The following is a 19680-nucleotide window of genomic DNA, read 5'->3' as shown; positions in this document are numbered from 1 at the left end:
GGGCAGGTCAAAGGCCCGAAGGTGAGAGAAAGTGTGTCCTCTTTGCAGCACCAAAAACTACTCACTGGAGTCAAGGGGGCAGGCGAGAGAAGCAGGAACTAGAGGCCAGGGAGCCAGCCCCCTGCAGCCTTGGGCTGGGGAATTTGGACTTTGGACTAAGGGCAATGGAGAGCAAGGAATGGGGGAGCCATGTGACCAGCTAAACAGGAGTGGAGTGAATAATCTTGTTTGGAATGGAGGCAGGGTGGCCGTGGGCTTCTCCAAGCTCAGTCCCCTACAGAGTCCCCTACTGAGCCTGGGAGTCACTCCAGTCCTCCAAAGAGAAATCTACGAGGCTGTAGTTGATCACCCACTGGCCCTGTGTCTAAGCAGTCATCCGTTCCATACTGCTCCAGCTTTGATGCCAGGACCCTACTTTTCTAAGAATCAAGGGCGTTCGCAGTATCCAGGATGGATTTCTCGCTCCTGAAACCCAAGGTTGCCAGTGACCAGCCTCCTAGTAACAGCTGCTATTCCCCCTCAGTTCTACCCTCTGCCTATTTGAGCTTGGAGGGCTGTTGACTAAATGCCTTACCTCTAGTTAGAGGGACATGCCCTGAGATTGGCCTCAGTTTGGACCTTTAGCCAAAATTACTGTAGCTCACCTGTGCTTCTTCCCCTTATAGGTTTAAATCCTAGCTGGAGACCTAAATATGGACTCACCTCACCTGATACCCATCTCTTGAACAGGCGTCTGAAGCTTCTGCACCCATAGATCACTCTGGAATTTTAGTCCCAGCCTCTCCTGGTCTGGAACATCCCACCAAGCGCTGAGCTCCTAGGACCAACAGAAGGAAGAGGTGCTCCCACAGCCCCAAACCGGGCCTCATACCCCACTTTCTCCAGCACAGTTATTGGAGCCTCACAATTACCCTCTGAGGAAGTATGATTCGTTTTCCTGTTTTGCAGATAAAGAAGTTCAGGCCCAGAAAAACTGAATATCTTCCGTAGGGTCACACAGCAATTGAAAGAGGAGAGCTGGGACCTGCCGGCTGCGACGACGGCAGAGGAGGCAAAGCCAGGAGGGCTTCATTCCAGCTCCACATCCGCAAAGAGATCTGGATGACCTTAGCCTTCAAATTCAAGTCTACTTAAAATCTACGCACCTGTTCAGACTGTTCTGCCAAGTGAAGGTCAACCTATATGAATACCAACTGCTGATATTATCCAACTTATTTGGAAAGTTCTAGAATTCTACAATATTTTTAAAACTGCACCCATTTTTGCTTACACTGCAGAGCAAGTGTCCCACATACATGGCCTGGCACTTTTGTGGAGGCACTCGGAGGTGTTAGGTGAGTGTTCCTGGGCGACACAGGAAGTTAGCACCTGGCACAGATGGAGACAGATGTTCCTTGTCCCCCACTCCCAGTGTGTTACATAATGTAACTCTCAGGTGGGGTTAATTTTGGAGAATGGGCCCTTCTGACTGTGAGTTCCACGCTGCTGGGAAAATGGGATGACTGTGGTGAGCCATTGCAAGAGTGGGGAAAGGCAGAAACAAAACATTTTCATAAAGATTAATGTGCTTGGCTGGGGATGGTGGCTTGCACCTGTAAACTCAGCTACTTGAGAGGCTGAGGTGGGAGGATCACTTAAGCCCAGGAGTTTGAGACCATTCTTGATGATACAGAGACCTCCATCTCAAAACAACAACAACAACAAAAACACCAGATGCAGTGGCTCATGCCTGTAATCCCAGCACTTTGGGAGGCCAAGGCCGGCAAATCATCCGAACTCAGGAGTTTGAGACCAGCCTGGGCAACATGGCAAAACCCCATCTCTACCAAAAAAATACAAAAATTACCCAGGCGTGGTGGTGCATGCTGGTAGTCCCAGCTACTTGGGGGCCTAAGGTGAGAGGATCGCTTGAATTTGGAGGTTGAGCCTGCAGTGAGCTGTGTTCGTTCACGCCACTCCACTCCAGCCTGGGTGACAAAAGCAGACCCTTTCTTAAAGAAGAAGAAAGAAGAAAGAAGGAAGAAGAAGAAGGAGGAAGAAGAAGAAGGAGGAGGAGGAGGAGGGAGGAAGGAGGAAGAAGGAGGAAGAAGAAGAAGGAGGAGGAGGAGGGAGGAAGGAGGAGGAAGAAGAAGAAGAGGAGGAGGAGGGAGGAAGGAGGAAGAAGGAGGAAGAAGAAGAAGAAGAGGAGGAGGAGGAAGAAGAAGAGATTGATGTGCTAAAATTTGGGCATTTTTGTTCAGCAGCTGTTTCACAGAGGAAGCAGGTCATAGCATAGCCAGCATAGCCAGCATTGCCAGGCAGACGTAAGACTGTCCACCTGGAGCCAGTGTCCCCAGCAAGCCGGAGCGCTATCTCGGGACTGCATCTCCATCTCTTTGGAAACGATGAGCCTGCTAAGGAGAAGTCTCCGATATTCTTGGTGATGCACCTCTCCCTACTGCACTCCCTGGGCAAATCCCTACACAGTCTCTTCTCTAAGCTCTGTTGAATACGCAGGCCACTTTTCTCCCCCTGGAAACTGCTAAATGATTGTGAAATCAGTGGTCCACAAAATGAACCCCCCCAAGTCCTCATTTCACAGGCACCCAGTCAATGCTCGGTAAATACGGATTGGGTGAAGGGCTCCCCTCCTCCCTGGCACTGGGTTTGACAGGAGTCATGTCGGGATTTGAGACCTGACATGCTCTGTGTAACCTGGTCTTGGGTTTTTCTCCTAAATGCTCACTGACACTTCCTACAAACCATCAAAAAATGCAGGGGGTGACGTTTGTCTGTCTTTCCAGCCTTCTTGTAGGATAGCGTCTTCCACACAGGCAGATGCTCCTGAGCACCCCAACCCCAGCACCCCCTTCATCTGAGCAGCCGCTTCCTGACCCCCAACCGCCCGCTCATCTGAGCTCCCTCCTGGAAGTTTTGAGTTTAGGGCCAGAGAGGACAGGAGTCTGTCCAGTCTGCTGGTGGCAGCTGTAAGAGAGAAAGCTGGCCTGAAATGAAGAATTAAGCCAAAATGTGAGAAGAAGCACACGTAAGAGACGAGGCGAGAAGCGTCCCGGAGCACTCGAGAGATCTTAGTTCCAGGCGCTCATGACCTTCTCATGGTCTGGTTCCATGAGGCATCACAGTTTGAATTTCTATTGCTTGAAACGAAAAGAATTCCCTTCTTTATCCTTTTCCCCTCCTCCCATCCCCATTCCAGAATACACCACCTTCCAGGACACACATTATCCAAGAATCTCGCCTACCCCTGGTGCTTCTCACCTATCTTAACAGGGGCATTCTCAAAGAAGACTAGGAAACACTGGAATTTTGAAAGATATGACATTTCTCCCTCTGCGGCAAAGGCAAAACAAAGAACGCCCAGGTGTTGCCTCCAATGGAAGAGCACGGCCTGGAAGGGCAGACGACTTTCTATACGACCTTGAGCAAAGCCCCTCGCTTCAGCCTGGCACAGAGAGGAAAAGCCCAACTTCCTCATCACATACATTCAGGGGAATTCTCTCCAGAAGCAAAGGATGCGTGAGGTCTTTGGAGAGGGGTCTGTATGAGCACACGTTTTACATATGCCATTGTGATTCACGCATATGAACTAATTGCAGGGCAACCGCATGCAGCACATCAAAGCGCTAAAATGGAAACACAGGTGCAGCCTTCCCTGGCTGCTATACCGTCAGCTGTCCTCACCATGCAGTATGAATACTGGAGGAATATTAGCGTATACTCAGTGAAAAAGAAGGAGGGAGAAAGCTCACCAGGAAGCCAATTATCTGGGACAAATTTCAGCCTTATCTGCCATGGTAAGCCGGAGTGATGGCCATAATAACAGGTATTTTTAGTTTGAGCTATCTACCTGAAGAATGATTTTTAACTCTTTCTGATAGCAACTTCTGGAATCCTTAAGGATAGAGACCATGTTTAACTCATCTGGGTATCCCCAAAGTAACTAGCACATAGAAGATACGTAATACCTGTCTTCTGAATGAATCAATGGATGACCAGATGGACTAAGAGGTGATGGGTAAATGATAGGGACAAGCAGGGAAAAAGTCATATAAGGACTGTGCTATTCTCCACATCTTTGTGTTTTTCAGTTCAGGGAGTTCTGTCTGTCTGACATATGGCTAAGCATTTTCAGGGATATGAACGCAATAGGAACAAAGATTCCCACCCTCAAGTAGCCTAAAGACTCAGTGGAGGAGAAAACCTAGACCCATAAAGCGGTGACAGCAACAGAGTGGTGAATGGTTAATCAGAGAAATCTGGGCAAGGGATGGTACATGATACAAAACACGGAGAAAAGGGGGCTCAGTAGGGGACAGGGGTGGGACATGGGAGGAAGAAGGCACTTAGCCAGACCTGGAAAAGTAGGTGGGTTTGGACACAAGAGATAGAGGGGTCCATGAAAAAAGGAAAGTAAAAGCCGAGGCCAGACAAGGAAGAAAGCCACGATGGGTTCCAGAAATGCTCCCTCTCCCAGCAGTGTCCCCACAGACCATGGCTCGATAAATACTCACAGCACATCTCTTTAAACAAAAGCTGAAGTTTAAACATTTCTGTGGTCACTGTCTGGTGCTCTAGACACAGAATTCTCAATGAAATGGAATCACCCGGGTGCCTCCATATAATCTGGGATGGGACTAACCAGCCCATCAGCTCCCAGGGTGCTGTCCCCGCCTTGGCTTTGGCTCTCAGTTCTTACTATTCCGGAGTAGGGCTAAAGGATCATGGTTTTTCCTCCCACGGAATTTAGGACTTTTTTTGTTTCTTTTGGTCTTTTCAAAGTCATTTTGAGTATTAATGTACTTTCATCGGTGTGCTTAGGGCAGGGAAACATAAGTCACACGGCAATCCATATATAAAAATCCATAAAAAATATTCATATATAAAACAACACAGTGACAACCACAAAGCTATCTGAGATGATGAGGGAAGAGAGCTTGGGACTGTCAGCGGCAGAGGAGGACGACCAGCCTCAGCCTCCGCCACAGCCCCCTGCCTGCCACCCCGCCAAGGCAGCTGCAGCACGCCAGCCAGGAACATTTGCTTACTGTACCTCTTCTGAAACCAAAATGACCACATAAGGTGCCTATAGAGAGACAGTCTCATGCAGCCATCCAGAGGACAGGTTCCAGAGTTGGCGTTCATAGGCCAGCTCCACCACAGACCAGGCATGTGATGCTGGGCAGATTCCTTAGATCCGGTCCAGCTTCCTCCAGTGTAAAAGAGGAGTGGTGATGGTGGAAGCTTCCCACAGGGGTGTCATGAGGATGGAGCCTTCTGAACAGTGCTTGGCACAAGATGAATGGCTCATATGTTGTATGATTTGGAAAAGAACAGTAGAAACAAACATATGGTGTCACCCCATCCACTCTGAAAAGCGGTGTCACCTCTAGGAATTATTTTGCCCTCTCTGAATCTCAGTGTTCTCATCTATGGGCAGCATCTAACAAGCCCCTGCCTCCCCGCACTGCCCCACTGCCTACCTCTCAGGGCTGTATTAAGAATCCAGGGAGGCTGTGTGCGGTGGCTCACACCCGGAATCCCAACACTTTGGGAGGCCAAGGCAGGTGGATCACTTGAGGCCAGGAGTTTGAGACTAGCCTGGCCAACGTGGTAAAACCCCATCTCCATAAAAAATACAAAAATTAGCCGGGAGTGGTGGCATGTGCCTGTAATCCCAGCTACGCAGGAGAATCGCTTGAACCCAGCAGGCAGAGGTTGCAGGGAGCCAAGATCGCCCCACTGCACTCCAGCCTGGGCGACAGAGTGAGACTGTCTCAAAAAAAAAAAAAAAATCCAGGAAGATGACATAGGTGCAAGGGCATGGAAATTGTCAGGCCTTATACGGATGGGAAGGATCATCGCAACAGAATGGAAACCAGTGTCATCATTCCATTCATTCCCCTAGTGCGATGGTAATGTGTCAATTTGGCTGGGCCCCGGTATTCAGATATTTGGTCATATTTCTGTGGAGGTATTTTTTTAGATGAGATTAACATTTAAATCAGCTGAGTTTGAGTAAATCAGACGACCTTCCATAATGTGGTGGGCTCCATCCAACCAGTTGAAGGCCTGAATAGAACCAAAGCTGACTTTCCCTGAGCAAGAAGGAATTCTGCTTGTCGGCTGCCCGCCTTTGGACTCCAGCTGCACCTCTTCCCTGCGTCTCCAGCCTGCCCGCCAACCTCCACAGTCACAGGAGTCCAGTCCTGAAAATCAGTCAATCCCCCACCCCCACTCCACACACACACACACACACACACACACACACACACACACACACACACACCCTGCTGGTTCTGTTTCTCTGGAGAACTCTGGCTAATACACCTAGTATTTACTGAGCACCTATGACACCTATGACAGTTGGGCACCGTGTAGTGCTCTGGATTCAAAGGGGAACAAGAAGGACATGGCCCTGCCCTCATGGAGCTTACATTCGTTAAGGAGACCCACTGAACATGGAATTACGCAGATCAGTCATCTAAAGAGTGATGAATGCAATGAGGAGAAACTTTGGGGGGTTACGGAAGCACACGAGGGGGCACCCAGCCTGGATAACCTGGGGTTGGGGAGGTTGGCAGGGAAAGCCTCCCCAAGGAATTGGCATTTCACTGATATCCACAGGATGGACAGGAATCAGCCAAGGGAAGGCTGTGCAGATCCACCCTGGGAGCCTCCAGACAAGAGCCAACTTCCTTCTGGGCTTCCGGCATCCATTCCTGGCCACACTTTCACCATCTGTACTTGTAACAGAGCGTGACTGCAGGGTCGCGTGGCGTGGACATGCAAATGGTGCGTTATTAGTCCTCCAGCACCTCTGAGCCCCCTGTAGGGTGCTACTTTGCTACTTTTTCACTTTTTATAGAATGCGGAACAAGGTAGGGGAAAGGCCAAGCTACAAACCCTGCTCTCTGTTTTTCCGATTTCCTATGATTAGCTTTCCATGGATTTCTATAAAAATACCTCCCAGCGAGTATCTTACTGATTGGATTTTCAAAACATTGTCCTTCACTGAAAATCTTCTTGTGCAAATATGATAAAATATTTTCTTAAAATGTTTAAAACAGGCCATGCGCAGTGGCTCATGTTTGTAATCCCAACACTTTGGGAGGTCAAGGCGGGTGGATCGCTTGAGCCCAAGTGTTTGAGACCAGCCTGGCCAACATGGAGAAATCCTGTCTCTACAAAAAATACAAAAAATTAGCAGGGCATGGTGGCTAATGTGGTCCCAGCTACCTGAGAGGCTGAGGTGGGAGGATCCCCTGAGCTCAGGAAGTTGAGGCTGCAGTGAACCGTGTCAGGGCCACTGCACTCCAGCCTGGCTGACGAAGGAAGACGCTGTCTAAAATTATATATTTACATAAAACAAGGAGCAAATCAAATGCATGATGACGGGACAAAAATGACTGTCCCTCAGCTCATCATGGGCTAAGGCATTCCCCAGGGCCCTTTGTCCTGCTTCCCAAACTTGAGGGAAAGGGGCACATGGCCAGGCTGCAGAAGGAAATAACCTTTGGGGAAAACAACATTCTCCTTTTTCCTGTAGAAACCTGAGAGTTTCCATTGTTGTAAACTCTTCTGGGCTTCCTGTTTTGAGGCTCACAAAAAAAGAGCTTGTAGCAACTTAGTTACTAATGACAGTCAGTGAGTGAGGAGTTTACAAATTGGTTCCACACTGCCTGATCCCATTCTTGCTTCAGACCCCGGGACATAACACGCCACTTTTCCAGCATGTGCCTGGCCCCCAGCAGCTCCTCCACCAATACTGACTGCACCAATCTCACTGCATGGTCTCAGTCCTCTGCCTTTTGCCCCAGGCTGGCCTGAGCTGCTCCAGCCTAACCACTGCGCCGGTGGGTTTTCAGGGTACATACAGAAAGGGTCCTAAATGTAGTGCCGACGCTGCTGCTAGGGGAAGGGGCAGCTGAGCGTTTACAGCAGGGTGCTGGTGAGGAGCCAGGGTCGGCCTGGGAGCAGCCAGGACGGAGCAGGCAAGAGCACTCTTTTGTAAGGCATGCCATTGTGATCTCACACTCCAGGAGAAAAGAACTCAGCGGAAACTGAAGAAGCTAGCATTGGAAAACAGACCAATTTTACCATCACCGATTTCAGCGAGAAAATAACTTTATTAGCTACAGCTGGAACAGAGCTCCACTAACGAATCCACCCAGCATTCACTGTTGTTGCTTAACAGATCTCAAATGAGCTACAAGTGGACAAAATTGATATCTGAATCTTTGGTTGTGGCACAGAACACAGACGCAGACTGAGGGAACTGGAAAAGAGATTTGGCAGGAAATTTGTCTCTAGCACTCGGTGCTACTGTAATTGTTCTATTTTTGGTTGTTTTTCCTGTAATCCCAGCACTTTGAGAAGCCGAGGCGGGCGGATCACCTGAGGTCAGGAGTTCAAGACCAGCCTGGCCAACATGGTGAAACCCCCTCTCTACTAAAAAACAAAATTAGCTGAGCGTGGTGGCATATGCCTGTAATCCCAGCTACTTGGGAGGCTGAGGCAGGAGAATCGCTTGAATCTGGGAAGCAGAGTTTGCAGTGAGCCAAGATCGTGCCATTGCATTCCAGCCTGGGCGACAGAGCAAGATTCTGTCTCAAAAAAAAAAAGAATGTATCGGAATTATTCTCCCCCTCCATAATAATACATTTTGGTTCAATGAGGCATTAGAAAGGGATTCAAATATTTTCTATTTGATACGAACAATTCAGTAGGCAAGAACAGCATTTCCTATTCTGTTTGAGGCACAAAGGAAAACTTTCTAATTAACTCAGCAGTTTGGACTCACCATTTTTTTAACATAAAATATTTCTATCGATCCCATTTTAATGGGATAATTATAACAAATCATGCTTAACTTTCCTTTCATCCATTAACAAGAGAAAGACTATAGAAAGATAAGATGCTGGGAATGTTAGCTTAAAATATACCTACTGTTTCCATTCTCCTGATATCAGTAATGGTCTAATTGTGCTGAGCTTAACTAAAATGTGGTTTTTGGACAAAGACTGATCAAAAGCCCTATTCTGGCATTATAATCCATCTTATTGCCCTTTGGTTAATTGAGACAGTGGCATTTATTCCAGAGAGAATTCCCTCATTTTATCTCATGTTTTTATTCCATAAATCAGGATGCTAATTAGGAATTACAGGTATTCCAGGAGGCCCCAAGGCTGTCCACCAATTATGATAAAGGTTGCTAGCTTTTAAAAAGTCCCCTTATAAAAATTATCTTTCTTCTCCTCCTCCTACACACTTACACACACACACGTGCACACACATACACAAGCCTACCATCTCCATTTAATACCTTAAAATAGAGCCAGCAGAATTGAGATCAAAAGTTGCAAAATGGGGCAGGGCGCTGTGACTCACACCTGTAATCCAAGCACTTTGGGAAGCCAAGGCGGGTGGATCACCTGACGTCAGGAGTTGACCAGCCTGGCCAACATGGTGAAACCCCACCTCTACTAAAAATACAAAAAGTTAGCCAGGCATGGTGGCGGGTGCCTGTAATCTCAGCTACTCGGGAGGCTGAGGCAGGAGAATTGCTTGAAACCGGGAGGCGGAGGTTGCAGTGAGCTGAGATTGTGCCATTGCACTCTAGCCTGGGCAACAAGAGTGAAACCCTGTTTTTAAAAAAAAAAAAAAGTTGCAAAATGGGAGGAAAAGATTACGAATCTCTTATTCAAATTCTGATTAACAGTTTTCCACAACAAATCATCTTTTACATTCAGAAGTTTAAACTTTTGTCTTCTCCCACAAAGTGGGATGACAAGTTAGTGCCTCTTGCTGGCCCTCAGTTTCCTTACATGCAAAATGAGAGGACAGGACAAGAAGGTCTTCGAGAAAATTCCTCAGTGAGGAATGTGGACACTGTTTCCTCTTTGCCAGCGTGTGGCATGAAGCGTCACCTTCTTCCTGATGTAAAACCCTGGGACAACTCGCACCCTGGGAAGAGCAGGTGGAGCCAAGGACCACTGGGTTCTGGTCACGTCCATGTTTTCACTGTTTCTGCCTCATTTTTGCAGCTGCCTCTTTCAGGACGGACCCTACACAGTGCTCAGCGCCCCATCAAGACTTCACACGGACTGTATAGAATTTTTTTTTTTAAGTTCAACCACATTGTGTATCCTTTCTAGCACTGAGCTGGCACTGAAAGGGTACAAAGATGAAAAGAACATGTTTCCTCCTCCCAAGAAGCTAACAACCTAGTGACGGAAACTGAAATGAACATTCCACTAGAAACATAAGGGGCTGAATTCTAGCTTGCCCATAGATACGTCTTGTGGAGTATATGTACACATATCAGTGCCTGGAAGGCGTCAGGTCCCTGAAACTTAAACAAAAATGTGTTCAGAAGAGCCTGTCTACTCATATGAAGCAGGCAGGGGAAGTTCAGAGAAGTAGGAAATGCAGGATCTCCACGGAGAAAGTGGATGCTAAATTCTGTTTCTCTACTTGCACTCTGAAAGCTCAAGAACAGACCTGGTATATAAGATAGGAGACTCTGGGCTACAGGACCAAACCAGTCCTCCCTGCTCACTGTGGGTCCTTTCATCCATTTTGCTCTGTGTAGACATCTCTGGCCAGGAACGCCAGAAAATGAGTATTTTATATGTAGCGATATGCCATCCTATCATAAATCTGATCTAATTAAACCAAAATGTGCTGCTTACCCCTTCTAGTTCTCCATTTGATAATGAAGACAACAGAAAATGATATCCACACACCCTCATCAGCAGAATTAAAGGTGATCATATTAATAATGAATGAAAATGGCTTCACACTTTTTTTTTTTTTTTTTTTTTGAGATGGAGTCTCGCTCTGTCGCCCAGCCTGGAGTGCAGTGGTGGCGATCTTGGCTTACTGCAACTCCGCCTCCCGGGTTCAAGTGATCCTCCTGCCTCAGCCTCCTGAGTAGCTGGGATTACAGGTGCCTGCCACCATGCCTGGCTAATTTTTGTATTTTTAGTAGAGGCAGGGTTTTCACCATCTTGGCCAGGCTGGTCTCGAACTTCTGACCTCAAGTGATCCACCCGCCTCAATCTCCCAAAGTGCTGGGATTACAGACGTGAGCCACCATGCCTGGCTCACACTTTCTTTATACACGTCCTTGGGATGACTTTCCTGCCCAGTAACCTCTAACGGAGAATATTCTCCTAACAGTTCCCACTCTTTGCAAGAACGGGGAGTGCTAAGTTCAACAGTGGCATGGCATAGAAGAAAGCCCCTGTGTCTGAGGTCTTTCAGGTTTGCCCCAGAAATAGCATGGCCCTTCTGGCAGCGCCACCTGCGCTTCCTGAGCTCCGGGCGCCTGGGGCGGCGCTAGCAGCATACTGCGCATGTGCTGTCCAGAGGCTGGCGAAATCTACATCCGTGGGAAAAAAGAAACCGCGAAGATTAAGAGTCAGAACATTTTCCCCAAGTCGCCTTTCTCTGGAGGTATCGGTTGAAGGAAGGCTCAAAATAAGAAATAAAGGAAGAAAGGGAAAACAACCACCACCCCCAACTCTACGTAAGCTTAACTATGGAGTTTAACGTCACATGAGTTAATTTCCCAGAAGAGCTAACAATTTAATTTACAAAGCTATCAGGCTAGCTATAGTGATGAATAGGTATTATTTATGCCGTTCCCGCCCCCTCCAACAGTGAACCAAAATAAAAGAGAACTCACAATTTGCTTTTCCCAACTTTAGTGTTTAAGAATGAAGTTGTGAGTGTAGTGGGATCTAGCGGGATCCAGAATCTACTGGGATCCAGTGGGATCCAGAATTGTCCATCACATTTGAATTCTTTATGAATACTTGAAGTAAAGATGTTAATTCTGGCTCAGAGCTTTTCTCTTTGGTCATGCTTCAGGATGAGGAAGGACAGCAATAATAATGAGGAATTGGACAATCTGTGTGTAAATAAACTGCACCTTGGTGGGCTGAAAGGCATGAGATTTTCCCCGGCATCACCTCCTGAACAACAGAGAGCTATCCCCACTGTTTCTACTTGTTGACTGAGTGAATAACAGCTACCGAGTACCTTTTTTAAAAACAGTATTTTAGGGAGGCTGAGGCAGGAGAATCACTTGAGCCCAGGAGGTGGAGGTTGCAGTGAGCCAAGATCGTGCCATTGCACTCCAGCCTGGGCAACAAGAGTGAAACTCTGACTCAAAAAACAAAAAACAAAAAAAACAAAACCAAAACCAAACAAACAAAAAACCACAGTATTTTAATCTAATTTTAAAAATCTTGTTCTCCTCTTCCTCTAAGAAGAATGTAAACTGAACAGAAATCTTGTCTTTCTCTTCCATACAGTGTCACAAGGAGTTAGTAACTGAATGACTTCTACCCTAAAAGGGTAAAAGGTTGATTGTCATCAATCCAATATGACTGTCACCATTACCATTCTCACTTTTAAAAATGTTGATGCACCATGGTGTGGCTGCAGAGCCATATACTTAGCAAGTCAAACAGATAACATGCTTTGCTCTGGAAGCTTCTAATCCAAGACAGAAAGCTCTGACATTAAGCTGTGACATACTAACAAATGAACCTTAAACATGGATGTTAATTAATTGTGCAAACAAATTTCATGAAGAACTGACTTAGGAGAAGCAACCGTTTTCAAACAGATTAGAATCATCATTTACATATAAGCCAAATCAGTGAAATATGAATGGGGACTAAGCTGCTTTGATCCACTAATCATCTTTATCTGCTTATTAAGAATATCTCTATAAGACTACTTAGTAGCATAATTTGTTTATGTAACTTCAAAGTGAGACAGAATCATTTTAAGCCTACAATCCTGATTTTTCCTTAAATCAGATTGTCCTTCATATTGGCCCAAATTGGTGAGCTTTCTAAGACTGACTGGAATAAAGCACTAAGTTATAAGTACCTTAAGGACAGGTGCTCTGCCTTGTCCATTATTTCAAACCTAAGCCTACCGCTCAGCACAGTACCTAACACCTAGTAGGTGCTTAATAAATATTTGCTGTGGGCTGGGCATGGTGGCTCATGCCTGTAATCCTAGCACTTTGGGAGGCCGAGGTGGGCAGATCACTGGAGGTCAGGAGTTTGAGACCAGCCTCGCCAAGATGGAGAAACCCCGTCTCTACTAAAAATACAAAAATTAACTGGGTGTGGTGGCGCATGCCTGTAATCCCAGCTACTTGGGAGGCTGAGGCAAGAGAATCACTTGAACCCCGGAGGTGGAGGTTGCAGTGAGCCAAGATTGTACCACTGTACTCCAGCCTGGGGGACAGAGTGAGACTCTGTCTCAAAAAAAAAAAAAAAAATTGCTGTGTATCAGGAAATGCTCTAGGGGCAGAGGATCCTGAGATGGTTTGTGTGTGTGCGCGCATGTGCGTGTGCATGCCTCAACTCCAAGTACATGGAAATTACCTCCATTTCTTCCATCACCATGGCCTCCAGAAAAGCTTTTGCCTCAAGAGGTGCTCAGTGGCCAGAAATGACTCCCTGGTGGTGGCTGGGGAGTGGGATTGTTGCTGGAAACAGCAGGGAGTGGGAAGGAGGGAAGGGATGGGATAGCACGCCTCCCTTCTCCCTCATTCTGTGTATCTATTCTTGGCTGTTATTCCCCTTCCTCTCCCAATCCTGACTCTGAAAAGTATGTCTTTCCCCACTGGACAAAGGCAATTGGTTCCCAACGTTATTTTGCTACCACTGCAGTTCCATGACACTCTTGTCTCCACCCCAAATTGTCAAGGGTCATGTTTATCTAGTGACAGCCAGTGATACAGTAGGAAATAAAATGGCCGAAAGGTCCTGACTTCTTGCCCTGCTTCTGGAGTCACTGGAAAACCTGTTACCTTCACTGGGCCTCAGTTTTCTTGTCTACTAAATAAGAAGTTGCTCTACATAAACCCATGAAATCTGTTCCTATGGAGGAAGGCCTCCCAGGTTTCCAGAGGGAGGTGGTGGGTGGCTGAGGCTGAGGGGCAGTGGTCCGGCTGGGTGACAACACTCTCACCTTCAGGGCCATCTCAAGCGTTGGAGATTCCTGCTCCCCTCCTCCACTCTAGGAGACTCCAGGTCAGGTTTAAATAATCAATCAACTTGCTTTTGGGAATTCCATCAAACTTGTCTACCTCAAACCTGCCGATTTATATATAGCGCCAATTATTTATGTTCTATATTAAACTCCACTGTATTTCTTGGTGATATTAAAATATAAATTATGCAACAGATAAATTGATGGAAATTTTTCCACATGGGTATAAAGAACTGCTGTTCCTAATGATGGTGAGATATCCGTGGAGGTGGAGAGAGCAGGAGTCTGGGAGGATGGGCCTTCGCTGAGGTCAGGCAGTTTGGCACCATATGGTAGGGCAGAGTAAGAGCCTGCTGAAATGGAAGAACCAGATGCTCTGTGCAGGAAGAGGCAGGGTCTTGGCAACTTCTCGTTTTTCTTTTTCTTTTTCTTTTTTATTGAGATGGAGTCTCGCTCTGTCGTCAAGGCTGGAGTACAGTGGCGCGATCTCTGCTCACTGCAACCTCTGCCTCCCAGGTTCAAGCGATTCTCCTGCCTCAGCCTCCTGAGTAGCTGGGATTACAGGTACGTGCCGCCAAGCTTGGCTAATTTTTGTATTTTTAGTAGAGACGGGGTTTCACCATGTTGGTCAGGCTGGTCTCGAACCCCTGACCTCGTGATCCGCCCGCCTCGGCCTCCCAAAGTGCTTGGATTACAGGCGTGAGCCACCGCGCCCAGCCAACTTCTTGTTCCAATCATGGTACACATTCTCTCCAACTGTCACTTCCTCCCCCTCACTGTTACCCATGCCCCAGAAGCCTGAGCAGATCAGGAGGGTGGCCTCAGCTGCCACGTGGCCACTGGGCAGATGGAAGCCACACCTTCTCTTATGATGTTCTGTGACCCCAGACCGATGCCCCGCTCCTCGACACAGTCTCATGGGTGAACTCAGGGCTTTGATTACATTTTGGATTGCAAATCAGTGAGAGAGATATCTTTAATTTTTTTAAAAAAGTGTGAAATGCAAACTTTAGTTTACTAACAAGCATAACTCCTCATTGTAAGGCCCCTTATCTGTGGTCACTACATATGGTACATCATGAAATCAAGATTGGACCAGTGTCCTTTGCCCTCTAAACTATTTTTGTGTCAGTGCTGGGTCATCCTGCTGGCTGGGACACTCTTTCTGCTGTTTTGGTCCCTGGCCTTGGCACCCTGATGTCCTTGTCTCAGAATTCCAGGGAGGTCATTAGGGATAGAGGGGGAGAGGTCGGAGCCACCTGAAGATGCATCCACATCAACCCTTGTAGGAACCACAGACAAGGCCAGTACTGTAGGTGCAGGAGGACGGTTTCTGATGTGCTTCATTTTGAGGTGCCCTGGACAGGGCGGTATTGGGGTACATGAGCACCCCAGGCTGGCTGATCATCTGGCACCTTTTCAAGGAGATACCACTTAAACATTTGCTCACACTTATTCAGAAGAGAACTGGCTTAGAGTACAGGAGGGGAAGGTCACTGCACTGACAGCTTGATTTCACTGTGTCCAGAGCAGTTCAGCTCCGGCACTGAAGTTCCAAATCCCTCTTTGCAAAACAAGAGCCCATGTACACTTAAAAGCAGTTCAGATGGTACATTTTATGTTACCTGTATCTTACCACAATTAAAAATAAAAAATGTAAAAAAGAATAGAAGATCCCAGCAGTTACTTGGACCCACCCTCCTTAGAAGGCAGCGAATCAACCATCCACGATCACACCCGTGTGCCCCTGTGGCGTACCACGGCCCCTCCTCGGGGGCTCCCACCCACTGAGTCCTCTCCTGGACAGGAGTCCTGGTCCACACTGTTTTTTCCACCTGCTTCCATGTCCAGTGATGCTGGGGCAGGCCCTGTAGACAGCCCAGGCCACTTCCCTGCCTCCTTGGGTCTTACTTTGCTGCTGGGCCTGGGAAAGCCCTCAGCTGAAAACTGTCTGCCCTGCCCACCACCAAGGAAAGCTCCAGGACTGGATGCTTCCCCTCAGAGGAGGCACTGCTCTGTTCAATGTAAGTTTTCAAAAAATAGAGACACTCTGTGGCCCAGGCTAGAGTGCAGTGGCACGATCATTGCTCACTGCAGCCTCTAACTCCTGGGCTCAAGTGATCCTCCCTCCTTAGCCTCCTGAGTAGCTGGGACTACAGGCATCTGCCACTGTGCCCAGCTGACTTTTAAATTTTTTGTAGAGACAGGGTCTTGCTATGTTACCCAGGCTGGTCTTGAACTCCTAGCCTCAAGTGCTTCTCTTGCTGTGGCCTCCCAAAGCTCTGGGATTACAGGTGTGAGCCACAGTGCCTGACCTATTCCATGTAATCTTAAAATTTAAACTCTTCTTGGGAAAAGTACCACATGAAGTTAATACCTTCCCAACGAGGTGGTGAGATTGAGGGTGGGAGAGCATGGAAGGACACGGGAGAAACTGGGAAAGGTGAAAAGAAGAGAGGGTAGAGGGTGCAAGGGGAGACTCCAGAGAGACAGAGGCCTTCTGAGGCCCAGAAACCCAGCCATGACCGTGTTTGGGTACCCAGGGGACTGGCAGTCTGCGAACTGAACAAGTAAAATCTAAATCCCCACAGTTTAGTAGTTGCTCCGGAGCTTCAGCAAGACTAGCAACGGCGGCCAAATGAAGCCCAGGGCCGGAGTCACGATAAGTCTGTAAAGGACCAGTGAGGTCGTGTGCACCACTCCTACTTTTGATAAAAATAAAAAATTAAACCGCCACGTCTTTCTTTCACTACATGTTTGTATGAGCCCTGGCTTATTCACCAATGATGAGTAAACCGTAAGTTACTTCACCCAAACGCTTTCCTCGGAAGGGAGAAAGAATTTAGAAATGACATTTAAAAATAAAGTGATCCCAAGTGTAGCTGAGCAACAGCTTGTAAGCACGATCCTACATCTCTTCCTGAGCATTTGTAACAATTCGAAATCGCACTTGTTGGCTAGAAAGGCAAGACTGCAGCGTTCCTCACAATCCCCTCAGTGGGCTGCTTCAAAGCAGAAGTCAGGATTTCTCTGAAGAGGAGGCAAAAACTCGAAAGTGTCACAGGGAAATTATGAGGCCTCATTACGTCTCATTTCTGTACCTTGTGCTGTGGCCTCCCTCGGTCTCCTGCCCCTGCCTCGATATTTTGTGCCTTTGTGTCTTTTCTTTAAATGGCTACGATTCTGTCAAACAATGCAAAGCTGATTTTTCCCACCAAAAGCAAATCAGATCTCTTACAATCTGAAGGTCTTAGTTTACCACTTAGTGTATGCAACCATGACAATTTTCAGGACTTTCAAATGAATTTCATCTTGCCTCCTTTTCTCCCTGGCAACGTCTTATTTTAATACATTGGAGGCCTCATTTTCTTCCTCCTGAAACTTGATCCAGAACCTCGCACACTGGGCAAATGGCAGGGACGGCGGATGGTCCTACCTTGCCCAGCCCCGGGGTGTCCTTCACCTTGTTGACAGCCCTCAGCAGGCAGGGTGGGGCTGGGGGAGGGGAGGTCTGCAGAATCCCACTGAAGCTGGTTGCAAAGAGCGGTGGTTCGGCAGCGGAAGAAGTGGAAGGCCGATGTTTCTTCTTTTTAGAAGACAGATTTAACTTCTGGGCAGCTCTGGAGTGGAAAAAGGAACAATAAGGGGAAAATGATTGTACGATCAGATCTGCTAGGCTTACTTCGTTTTCTCTTAAACAACCCCTCGTTCTTTCTGAGGCCTAATCATTCCTTCTCTCCTCCTGCTCAGTGTCCTCTGTAGCAGTCCCTTACTATAACAGAGTGAAGTTAACGAGCTACCCAATCATTTATACGACAAAAGGAAAAACAAAGCCATAAAATAGCAGGATTCTGCAATCACGATTTACAAAGAATGATGTGTTATCCACCAACATTCAGCTTAAGCAGGAACAAAGCTGGGCATCTTTGGGGATAAGGGCACCCATTAAGTTCATCACTCCACAACTTCTCTGGCATAAACTCAGGTGCGAGAGACCTCATGAGCTAATTTAAAAACTCTAACACCTTGTAAAATCCAAACCAGTCTGATGAAGAACGATGTGGAGACCAGTCAAGGCATGCTATGTACAGGGCACTGGAAGAAAAACACAAGCCCCAGTGCAACAGGAAAAATCAAACTGGTTTTAGAAATATACCACCAAATCAGAAGGTGAACTCCAACCAGGGTGCAGGGCGCTGAGGCTATGGGCTGCTTACGTAGATAAGAGGATATTGTGCAGGGAGGTCTTTAAATACAAAATGCAATTCATGGTCAAGTGCGAGGAGTAAGGGGTCAAAGCACTGAAGGGGGCACAGAGTGTGAAGGCAGGGAAAGGTGGGAGGGGAGGCTGCCGGCATCATTAATAACATAGGCTGTTCCAATGACATCGTCCATCATTCAAGTGTCCTGTAACACTTAAAACATGATAATCTTGGCCAGGCACGGTGGCTCACACCTGTAATCCCAGCACTTTGGGAGGCCGAGGCAGGCAGCTCACCTGAGGTCAGGAGTTCGAGACCAGCCTGGCCAACATGGAGAAACCCCATCTCTACTAAAAATACAAAAATTAGCCGGGTGTGGTGGTGCATGCCTGTAATCCCAGCTATTCGGGAGGCTGAGGCAGGAGGATCGCTTGAACCCAGGAGGCGGAGGTTGCAGTGAGCCCAGATAGCGCCACTGCTCTCCAGGCTGGGTGACAGAGTGAGACTCCGTCTCAAAAGAAAAACAAAACAAATCCATGATCATCTTATCACAGAAAAGAAGAAGAAAACAGGGGAAGGGGCAGTGTGAGGCGAAGGCATTTCACAGACTCTAATATACTCATTTCTGGATGAATTCTTGATGTTTACACACTAAACTCTTATTCTAAGGATTCTAATTTCCTCATCAAATGTTTGAGCTGCTGCTTAAAATGAAAGGACCGCCCTGACTTTATTCTACTGATTAAAATCTTATAATTCATCCAATGTTCTTACCAGTTGCAGAACACATCACGAGAGAAGCAGGTCAGAAAGACAAAAGCAACACCGTTTGCACCGCCTCTCCCTCCCCGACCCCGGTCTCCTTCAATGGTCTGGGATAGCTGGTTTTAATTCTGTATCATTAAGTGTCATGCTTTTGATAAATTCTGAGCTAAAAAATTGCCACTGCACAAATATAGCAAATGGTGTTACCATTTCAAAGCTTAATTGTTCTCATCTGTAAAACTGAAAATCTGTTTCACAAGAGTGAAATACAGGGGGAAGAGATATGTGAGGAATTACTGATTTTGATGGGAAGATACCCTAAGTCACCCTATTGTAGGATGATGAGAAAGGGAAGGCACGGGACACTTTCTTTTCAATCAGTGAAAAGAAAAACCTAGGAATACTTTTTTTTTCATCTCATTGCTACCCTTCCTGGCACTTTCCTTCTAAAATCAAGGGTGAAATGGAATTATTCAATGACCAGTCATTCCTTTTGAAATTCTCTCCCTAAATGAACAGTGACTCATCCCAGGTCAGTCATTGGCACAAGGCATCATGGCACCTTCTAACACCCGCACACACCTCTGCTCAGCGATCCCTCCCTGCTCTCAAGCCAGCCTGCCTATGTCTCAGAGGACTAGAACAAGAAGGAAGACAGTGATCTGCCAGGAACTAAAAGATGGTGTTTATC

General features: G+C 47.1%; 1 protein-coding gene across 1 annotated transcript in view; it reads right to left on the bottom strand.

Moving 5' to 3' along the window:
* The window catches only part of KIF26B (kinesin family member 26B), a 554448-nt gene that overhangs the window by 151024 nt on the left and 383744 nt on the right, over positions 1 to 19680 (bottom strand). The window contains exon 5 of the mRNA NM_018012.4: positions 17459 to 17642. Coding sequence (NP_060482.2) covers positions 17459 to 17642 — 184 coding nt within the window. The remainder of the gene's footprint in view (positions 1 to 17458; positions 17643 to 19680) is intronic.

Source organism: Homo sapiens, chromosome 1 (assembly GCF_000001405.40).
Source record: "Homo sapiens chromosome 1, GRCh38.p14 Primary Assembly".
In the NCBI taxonomy this organism is placed as follows: Eukaryota; Metazoa; Chordata; class Mammalia; order Primates; family Hominidae; genus Homo; species Homo sapiens.
This window is presented reverse-complemented; position numbering and strand designations above follow the sequence as displayed.